Source organism: Homo sapiens, chromosome 17, assembly GCF_000001405.40.
Source record: "Homo sapiens chromosome 17, GRCh38.p14 Primary Assembly".
NCBI lineage: Eukaryota > Metazoa > Chordata > Mammalia > Primates > Hominidae > Homo > Homo sapiens.
The window spans coordinates 75,741,511-75,751,371 of record NC_000017.11 but is presented as its reverse complement, the minus strand read 5'-3'; the positions used below and the strand labels follow the sequence as shown (position 1 = coordinate 75,751,371).

Here is a 9,861-nt window from a genome sequence, read left to right as displayed (position 1 = left end):
GGTACCCCTGGGCCTGTGACCTCACTCCACATAGGTAACCACCCACCCTGCAACCTTCTGGGTTTGGTCTTAGAATGCAACCCAGCCCAAATCTGGCCAAAACCCTAAAGATGCCTCAGGCTTATCCGCTGACCAGGATGAAGGCCTCGAGTGCCCTGCACAGCAGGTCCAGGGAGTGACCAAGAGCTCCCTCCAGCTTTGTCCCCTCCCCTTCCATGGCTGTTCTCCCTGTGGGCAGGAAAGAAGGATCTGGTTCTTACGGTTGTCATCGTTGACCAGGCCATAGCAGACCTCGTAGGCTGTGATCTCACCGTTGGTCTCAGCCGGCTCAGCCCAGCTCAGCTGGGTCACCGTGGAGGAGACGACATTGAAGGCCAGACGCCCTGGCTCGCTGGGCACTAGGGAGCGGGGAATACAGGAAGAGTGCTGTCAGTGGCAGAGGGAGGGAGGTCTGGGCATGCTGGCATCAGGGCAGCCAGGGGACAAATGGACAGACATGGCGAGGCCTCACCTTCCTGGTGGGTGCGGCAGGACACCAGGGAGCTGTAGGGTCCCTCGCCCTGAGCCCCGTAGGCGCACACCTTCATCTCATAGTCGCAATACGGGTACAGGTTGGTGAGCTCCACTGAGGGCACCTTGCTGTCGAGCAGGTGGGCTTCGGATTCGGAGTCACCCTGAATCCAGTACTTTACCTACCCCCAGGGACAGGGGTCCTGGTCAGCAGGGAGCAGCAGGCACCCAAGCTGCCTGTCCCTCCTCTGACCTCTGCCCTTACTGTCCTCTTTGCACAGATGAGGCCCGAGGGAGGGGCTGAGAGATCTGCCATGTGCACACGTCAGGACTAGGGCAGAGCAGGTGGGGGTATCTCCCATGCGGGGGTGGGAGGGGGCCCCATTCTAGGAAGGAGGGCAAATGTCTGATAAACTCAGGAATGGGTCTTCCCTCTTTCCCAGCACAGACCGGGTTTCCCTCTGACCACCTGTGCTAGGTTCCACTGTCTGCTCTCTCTCAGGGGGCCCTGGCCTTGGACGGCCCACCTCTTCTGTGAGTGCTGGTGCCAGACCGCCCATCCACCTGTCGTGACCCTCAGCCCCCCGCCTTACCCTGTACCCCATTGGCTTGCCAGAAGGGGGCAGCCAGTTGAAATGGATCTTCCTGGACCCAGCGGCCTTAGCATTGGGGTTCTGCGGGGCGCCCAGGTCGCCGTGAGGGGGTGGCTGTGATGACAACATCTGACTCGTGAAGCTCCGGTCCAGTTCATCTAACGGGTCAGGTTGGGGCCGGGCAACCACTCAGATCCCCCTTCACCACCAGGGGGCGCCAGAGACCCACTTCAACACCCAGGGCGCTCTACCCAGCGCATTCAACTCAGACCTGCCCACCCGCGTCTCTGGAGACCTGGTGGTGCCCCATTGCTGCCACATAGAGCATCCTGCCAAGCTTGGCGGAGGACCCAGGAGGGTCTCTGGAGGAACAGAAGCGGGAGGGAGTTGGTCTGCCCCTTTCTCCCTTGGCAGCTCAGGGAACATTCCACATGAGAACATTTGCTCCCCACCCCATCTCCACACTGTACCCTGAGTATCTCCCTCCTCTCCCATCTTCCTGGCAGGCTTTCTCCCAGTTGGGAGGCTGAGGGCTGATAGGAACTAACTGGCCCACTCCTTCCTTCCACAAGCATCTGCATGTTAGTTGGAATTGAGGCTGAAGCCAAAGGGCCAGGGTCTGATGGGAGAATTCCTATTGTGTGGTGACAACAGCCTCTCTAGCTGTAGGGTTGCCAGATAAAATGCAGGATGCCTAGTTACATTTGAATTTCAGATAAACAACAAGATTATTTTTTCTTGGGGGACAGGATCTCATTCCATGGCCCAGGTGCTGTGCAGTGGTGCGATCACAGCTTGCTGCGGCCCAGACCCCCTGGGCTCAAGTGATCCTCCCACCTCAGTCTCCGGAATAGCTGGGACTGCAGGTGCACACCACTATGCCAAGCTAATTTGTTTATTTTTTGTAGAGACGAGGTCTCACTATGTTGCCCAGGCTGGTCTAGAACTCCTGGGCTCAAGTGATCCTCCCACCTTGGCCTCCCAAAATGCTGGGATTACAGGTGTGAGCCAGTATACCCAGCCCATTTTGCAAAAAAAAGGATAAGTATGTTCCAAATATTGCATGGGACATACTTATCCTACCAACGTGTATGTTGTTTACCTGAAATTCAGATTTACCTGGGCGTCCTGTGTTTGGATTTGCTAAGTCTGACAGACCTAGTTGAGAGACCCCCCAGTCTTCCCTCTCCTCCTGCTTAAGCCGACCCCCAGGCTCTGCCTACCTGGGTCCCTGATGATGATGGTGGTGGAGTGGGGCTGGCCCAGGTGGGCCCCAAACTTAGGGTTGCTGAGCTGGACGTGGAAACGGCGGACCTGGCGGCCCCGCAGGAGGGAGTCAACTTCTTGCAGCTCCAGGAGCTTCACCTGCAGCTCTTTCCAGGCCTCCCCAGGCTGGAACAGCAGCTCACCCTCCACGGGGATGTAGTCCTGGGAGTGGAGGGGGTCAGGGTCAGGGTCATGGCTGGGGGCTGAGGCAAGAGTCATGGCCACACGCTCCCTCCCAACCTCATGGACACTGCAGAGACCATCCCTGCTTGCTGGGTGGAGTACTTACACGAGGTTCAGGTTTTTGTGTTTTTTTTGTTTGTTTTTTTTTTTGAGGCGTAATCTCACTCTGTCACCTAGGCTGGAGTGCAGTGGCATGATCTCGGCTTACTGCAACCTCCACCTTCCAGGTTCAAATGATTCTCACACCTCATCTTCCTGAGTAGCTGGGATTACAGGCACCTGCCACCACGCCTAGCTAATTTTTGTATTTTTAGTAGAGATGGGGTTTCACTATGTTGGCCAGGCTGGTCTCGAACTCCTGACTTCAAGTGATCCTCCCACCTTGGCCTCCCAAAGTGCTGGGATTACAGACATGAGCCACCATGCCCAGCCACGTTTCTGTTTGTTTGTTTGTTTTTGAGACAGGGTCTCACTCTGTCACCCAGGCTGGAGTGTAGGGGCACAATCACAGCTCACTGAAGCCTTGACCTCCTGGGCTCAGGCCATCCTTCCCCTCAGCCGCCTGAGTAGCTGGGACTACAGGCGTGCACCACACCTGGCTATTTTTTTTTTTTTTTTTTTTGTAGAGGCACGGTTACCCTATGTTGCCTAGGCTGGTCTTGAACTCCCGGCCTCAAGCGATCCGCCCACCTTGGCCTCCCAAAGTGCTGGGATTACAGGCGTGAGCCACCCATCTTCCTTTCAGTGCCGTGGAGCATGCCTGAGCTTTCCAGGATAAGAACTGGGAGGAAAAAGAAAATCCTTCACATAGAAGACCACTAGGTGGCACTTCAGGGCAAGATTTCAATTCCAGGCGCAGCAGCCAGGGCGATGGCTGGGGAGGCAACCTCATGCCACCCAACTCAGAAAGTGAGACCCATAGTTGTAAAACAAACAAACAAAAAACAAACCAGGGAGCTGCCTGCAAGCAACCTACATGGATACTTCAAAAACGTCAGTGTCATTAGCCCGGCATGGTGGCCGGTGCCTGTAATCCCAGCTACTCGGGAGGCTAAGGCAGGAGAATTGCTTGAACCCGGGAGGCAGAGGTTGCAGTGAGGCACTGTACTCCAGCCTGGGTGACAGAGCGAGACCTTGTCTTAACAAAAGTCAGTGTCACGGAAGACAAAGCCAGGAAACTTTTCTAGATTAAAGGAGTCAAGACACGTGACAAAAGTCAATGCCAAATCCTTGATTAGTTCCTGCATTGGGGGGAAAAACGCTATAAAGGACATTATTGGGACATCCGAACAAGGGGACATTGGAATATGGACCTATTTTATTTTATTTTATATATTTTTTGGGATGGAGTTTTGCTCTTTTGCCCAGACTGGAGTGAAGTGGCGCAATCTTGGCTCACTGCAACCTCCACCCACTGGGTTCAAATGATTCTCCTGCCTCAGCCTCCCTAGTAGCTGAGATTACAGGCGTGTGCCACCATGCCCGGCTAATTTTTGTATTTTTAGTAGAGATGGGGTTTCTCCATGTTGGTCAGGCTGGTGTCAAACTCCTGACTTCAGGTGATCCACCTGCCTCAGCCTCCCAAAGTGCTGGGATTACAGGTGTGAGCCACCACGCCTGGCTGGAATATGGACTAATTTTAGGTACTAGTATAATCAATGTGAAGATACAGATGTCCACATCTCTATTTATATTTCTATGTTGCTATCTATATAGAAAGAGAGAGAAAGCAAATATTAGCAATCGGTGAATCTATGTAAAGGGTAAATGGGTGCTAGTTTTACTGTTCCTTCCATTTTTCTGTAAGTTGAAGTTTTTAAAAATAAAAAGGTGAGAAATTAAAATGTTTTAAAAAACAAATATCAAAGCTTTTTTTTTTTTTTTTTTTTTGAGACAGGGGTTTCACTCTGTCACCCAGGCTGGAGTGCAGTGGCACTATCTCGGCTAACTGCAACCTCCACCTACTGGGCTCTACCTCAGCCTCCCGAGTAGCTGGGACCACAGGTGCACACCACAACACCCAGATAATTTTCTGTATTTTTGGTACAGACAGGGTTTCGCCATGTTGGCCAGGCTGGTCTTGAACTCCTGATCTCAAGCGATCTGCCCGCCCTGGCCTCCCAAAGTGCTGGGATTACAGGCATGAGCCACTGTACCCAGCCTCAAAGCATCTTTATACAAGTGTAACAGGGTAGCCAGAAGGCAAGGCAAAAGGATCATGTTATCCTAGGAGTTTGAGACCAGCCTGGGCAACATGGCGAAACCCTATCTCTACTAAAAATATAAAATGGCCGGGCGCGGTGGCTGATGCCTGTAATCCCAGCACTTTGGGAGGCTGAGGTGGGCGGATCACGAGGTCAGGAGTTCGAGACCAGCCTGACCAACATGGTGAAACCCCGTCTCTACTAAAAATACAAAATTTAGCTGGGTGTGGTGGTGCGCACCTGTAGTCCCTGTTACTTGGGAGGCTGAGGCAGGAGAATCGCTTGAACCCTGGAGGTGGAGGTTGCAGTAAGCTGAGATCGCGCCAGCCTGGGCAACAGAGTGAGACTCCGTCTCAAAGAAAAAAAAATACAAAATTAGCCGTGCGGTGGTGGACATCTGTAGTCCCAGCTACTTGGGAGGTTGAGGTTGAAGGACTGCTTGAGCCCAGGAGTTCAAGATTGCAGAGAGCTAGGACTGTGCCCCTGTACTCCACCCTGGACTAGAGGGAGACCTTGTCTCTTAAAAGAAAAAAATTATTCTTTGGAATTTTTATGGGGGGACATTGGAAAAATAATGAGAACAGTTCCTGTCAATAAAAAGAAGTAAATAAAATTAGGATGTGGCCAGGCAGCCCGGGCCTGCTGACTACGCGCTCCCCTATGTTTGCTGAATGGGCCTGTGGGCCCAGGGAGGCGAGACTTTATTACTTTTGAGATAATTTTTTTTTTCTTTTTTCGAGACAGAGTCTCACTCTGTCGCTCAAGCTGTAGTGCAGTGGCATGATCTCGGTTCACTGCAGCCTCCACCTCCTGGTTTCCAGCAATTCTCCTGCCTCGGCCTCCCGGGTAGCTGGGATTAGAGGCACGTGTCACCATGCCCAGCTAATTTTTGTATTTTTAGTAGAGACAGGGTTTCACCATGTTGGCCAGGCTGGTCTCGAACTCGTGACCTCAGGCGATCCACCTGCCTTGGCCTCCCACAGTGCTAGGATTACAGGCATACGCCACCTCGCCTGGCCTTTATTATTATTATTATTTTTTTAAAATAGAGACAGGGTCTTACTATGTTGCCCAAGCTGGCCTGCAACTCCTGGGCTCAAGTGATCCTCCCACTGTGCCCTCCCACAGTGTTGGGATTACATGCATGAGCTACTGCACTGAGCCAGGTTTTGTTTCTTTGTTTTTTTGTTTGATTTTTAAAAAATTAATTATTATTATTTTTTTAGACAGGGTCTTACTCTGTTGCCTAGGCTGAAGTACAGTGGCATGAACATGGCTCACTGTAGCCTCAACCTCCTGGCCTCAAGTGATCTTCCTGCCTCAGCCTTCCAAGTAGCTGGGTCCACAAGTATGCACTACCATGCCCAGCTAATGTTTAAATTATATGTATAGACATGGTCTCACCACGTTGCCTAGGCTGGTCTTGAACTCCTGGGTTTAAGTGATTCTCCCACCTTAGCCTCCCAAAGTGCTGGGATTACAGGTGTGAGCCACCATGCCCCGCCTTTGTTTTTAATTATGGATTTGTTGCCAACATTTAAAAACTAGAAAGGCCAGGTGCACTGGCTTACACCTGTAATCCCTGCACTTTGGGAAGCCGAGGTGGGCGGATCACTTGAGATCAGGAGTTTAAGACCAGCCTGGCCAACATGGCAAAACCCCATCTCTTCTAAAAATACAAAAACTAGGCCGGGCGTGGTAGCTCACTCCTGTAATCCCAGCACTTTGGGAGGCCGAGGTGGGTGGATCACTTGAGGTCAGGAGTTCAAGACCAGCTTGGGCAACATAGCAAGACCCTGTCTCCCCCAAAAATTAAGAAGCAAAAAATCCCCACACAAAACAAAAGAAACAAAACTATGAAGCCTGTAAACCCAGTCCAGCCTGTGTGCCACCTGATTTGGCTGTACCCCAGCACTGGGGCTCAGCAGTGAAGGTGATGCTGGTCCAGCCATGGCACTCCCTGCCTTGAAGGGTTGCTCCTGCTGCTTGGCAAATTGTGACAGCCCTTGGGGAGTCTGGCCTGGGGACATGGGGTCTTCGATCCCAGCTCAAGAAACCCAAAGCCCCCTGGACTGGGGCATATAGGGGGAGTTTATCTCCAAGAGGTTTGGCTACCCTGTGGATCCTGAGTTGTAGGAGGGGACAGGAATGGTCTGGGCAGGTCCCTGGCCCATGAAGGAAGAAAGAGCCCTCTTGGGCCGGGCGCGGTGGCTCACGCCTGTAATCCCAGCACTTTGGGAGGCCAAGGCGGGCGGATCACCTGAGGTCGGGAGTTCCAGACCAGCCTGACCAACATGGAGAAACCCCGTCTCTACTAAAAACACAAAATTAGACATGCGTGGTGGCACATGCCTGTAATCCCAGCTACTAGGGAGGCTGAGGCAGCAGAATCGCTTGAACCCGAGAGGTGGAGGTTGCGGTGAGCTGAGATTGTGCCATTGCACTCCAGCCTGGGCAACAAGAGCGAAACTCTGTCTCAAAAAAAAAAAAAAAAAAAAAAGAGCGAGCCCTCTTGGCCTGAGTCCCTGGCAGCAATGGAGCCTCATCCAGCGTGTCACTGGCACCCTGGGCAGGTGAGACTCCCCTGCCACAGGGTGGCAGGAGCAGGTGGACGTGTCCTTGGGAGGCCAGCCAGGGGCACGGCCAGTATCCAGGGACTCAAGCAGCTGCCATGTGCTGCTTTGTCTTGGGAACCCAATGCGGTGCCCACGCAGCCCCCCGGGCTGCACCCTCGACCCTGTGGCGCAGCCTCACCCGGTTGCCCTGCGCGGTGCCATCCTGTGTGCGGTAGGAGACCTGGGACTTCCCGCCGTCCAGGACACGCCGGATGACAGGGATGCGGGCCACCTGGTCCCCGCGGCTGACCGAGAACTCAGGCTGCTCAAAGGACACCACGTCTCTGGCTGCAAGGAGCCCGGGCATTTGTCAGAGTGTGCTGGGCCCAGTCCCTTCCCACCTCCTGCTCTCCTGTGACCCTGCCCAGCCCAGCCCAGAATCCAGGAGTCCGCTTGGTTCCCTCTATGCATTGCCCTCTGGGAAGGGCACAGGAGCGAAACGGAAAATCCTTCCAGAAAAAGATGAGGGGCCGGGCGCAGTGGCTTGTGCCTGTAATCCCAGCACTTTGGGAGGCTGAGGCAGGTGGATCACCTGAGGTCAGGAGTTCGAGACCAGCCTGGCCAACATGGCGAAACCCCATCTCTACTAAAGATAGAAAAATTAGCTGGGCGTGGTGGCGAGTGCCTGTAATCCCAGCTACTCGGGAGGCTGAGGCAGGAGAATCACTTCAACCTGGGAGGCAGCGGTTGCAGTGAGCCAAGATGGTGCCATTGCACTCCAGCCTGGGTGGCAGAGCAAGACTCTGTCCCAAGAAAAAAAAAAGTGGTTCTGGAACAAAGTGTCCAGCAGACATCCTGGAAGGGCCAGGCAGAGGAGGGAGGCCAGTCACGGGCAGGACCAGAGATGGAGCCTTCAGCCCCAGGGCTGGAGGAGAGCAGGAACAGGCCTGAGGCCTGTGGCTTCCGGCACAGGTGGGAGGAGGGGTCAGATGTCCACGGTGTGATGCCTTGGCCAACCCTTTTTCTAGATAGAGAGGAGCAAGGGGCTGGCCCTTATGAGGATGCAACAGAAGCTTCCATTTACTGAGCGCTCACCACCAGGCAGGCACTGTGGCGAGGTGAACAGCCACGCATTCCGTAAAAGAGCCCTTACCCATTTTACAGATGGAGAAACCAAGGCTTGCAGAGGTTAAGTGACTAGCCCAGGCCACGTGGCCAGGTCGCAATTCCACTTAAGCAGGAGGAACCAGTGCCCCCGAGCCCCCGTCTGCCTTCCCCACTCTCCCCACCCAGACCCACCTTGCTCCTTGATGATGGTGATGTTTACCAGGCGGCGGCCGAGGGTGGCAGTGCCTGCGGGCACGTCGATGGCCTCCACCAGCAGCTGCTTCTCGTCGTCATCCTCAGGCCGGATAAAGAGGGGCACCCGTACGTCCACCAGCTCCACGCCCTCCTGGAACTCCACCATGCCCCGGGCGTCTGGGTGGGGGTTCGGAGGTGGTCAGAGGTGGGTCACAGGGCCACACAGGCGGGAGGTGCGAGGCAGTGGCACAGCGGACCCGCCCTCCTACCCTGGTCTGCAGTGAGGGTGTAGTAGCCGGGGGCCACCTTGAGGTCGTGGAAGGCCCTCTGTTCCACCTGCTTCTCTGTAAGCTTCAGCAGGGCCGGCTTGGCCGAGCGGGGCGCCATCAGCACTGTGTCCACAATGGTGTGGTCTTGCCTGGGTCGAGGGTGGAAGGTTCAGGCAGCGGAGGGGTCAGGCTGGCACCTGCTGCCCTGTCCCTCCTGCCTGTCTTCTCCCCTTCAGGGGCCAGGATGTAAGACAGCAAGAAGTGCAGGGTCTTCAGAGGCAGGCAGTGCTCCAGGCCTATGCCAGCCCCATACCCTTTACCCTGCAGCCTCAGCCCAGCCATGGCGCCTCCCTGTCCTCAGCGTCCTCCTCTGTGAAATGGGCTTCTCTGCCCACCTCATCAAGGGCTGGACAGCAAAGATGCTAAGGGTGTGTGTGCTCAGGCCAGGCTGCCGCGGCCCTAGCCCTGGTTCTAGTTCTCGATAGCTGGGTAACCTTGGGCAAGTCACTTAACCCTTTTGAGCCTCAGCTTCCTCATCTGCAAAATGGGAACAGCAGTGATCTCTACCTCACAGGCTTGACGAGAGGGTTGGATAAGATGACCACACACGGAAAGCCCTTAGGACAATGCTTGGCCCGTAGCAGGATAAGAAATGCTGGTCAGCCATTCTTTTTTTTTTTTTTCAAGACGGATTCTCACTCAGTCGCCCAGGCTGGAGTGCAGTGGCGCAATCTCGGCTCACTGCAACCTCTGCCTCCCAGGTTCAAGGGATTCTCCTGCCTCAGCCTCCCAAGTAGCTGGGATTACAGGTGCCCACCAACACACCTGGCTAATTTTTGTATTTTTAGTAGAGGTGGGGTTTCACCATGTTGGCCTGGCTAGTCTTAAACTCCTGACCTGAGGTGATCCACCCGCCTCAGCCTCCCAAAGTGCTGGGATTACAGGTGTGAGCCACCACGCACAGCCAACGGTTCTTACT

General features: G+C 54.4%; 1 protein-coding gene across 15 annotated transcripts in view; it reads right to left on the bottom strand.

Moving 5' to 3' along the window:
* ITGB4 (integrin subunit beta 4) overlaps positions 1-9,861 on the bottom strand; it is a 36,360-nt gene that overhangs the window by 6,447 nt on the left and 20,052 nt on the right. For all 15 annotated transcript variants that reach the window (XM_005257311.5, NM_000213.5, NM_001005619.2 and 12 more), the window contains 7 exons: positions 8,883-9,031; positions 8,611-8,790; positions 7,511-7,659; positions 2,327-2,531; positions 1,104-1,261; positions 512-692; positions 261-398 (listed from right to left, as the gene is read on the bottom strand). In XM_005257311.5, the coding sequence (XP_005257368.1) occupies positions 261-398; positions 512-692; positions 1,104-1,261; positions 2,327-2,531; positions 7,511-7,659; positions 8,611-8,790; positions 8,883-9,031 (1,160 nt within the window). The remainder of the gene's footprint in view (positions 1-260; positions 399-511; positions 693-1,103; positions 1,262-2,326; positions 2,532-7,510; positions 7,660-8,610; positions 8,791-8,882; positions 9,032-9,861) is intronic.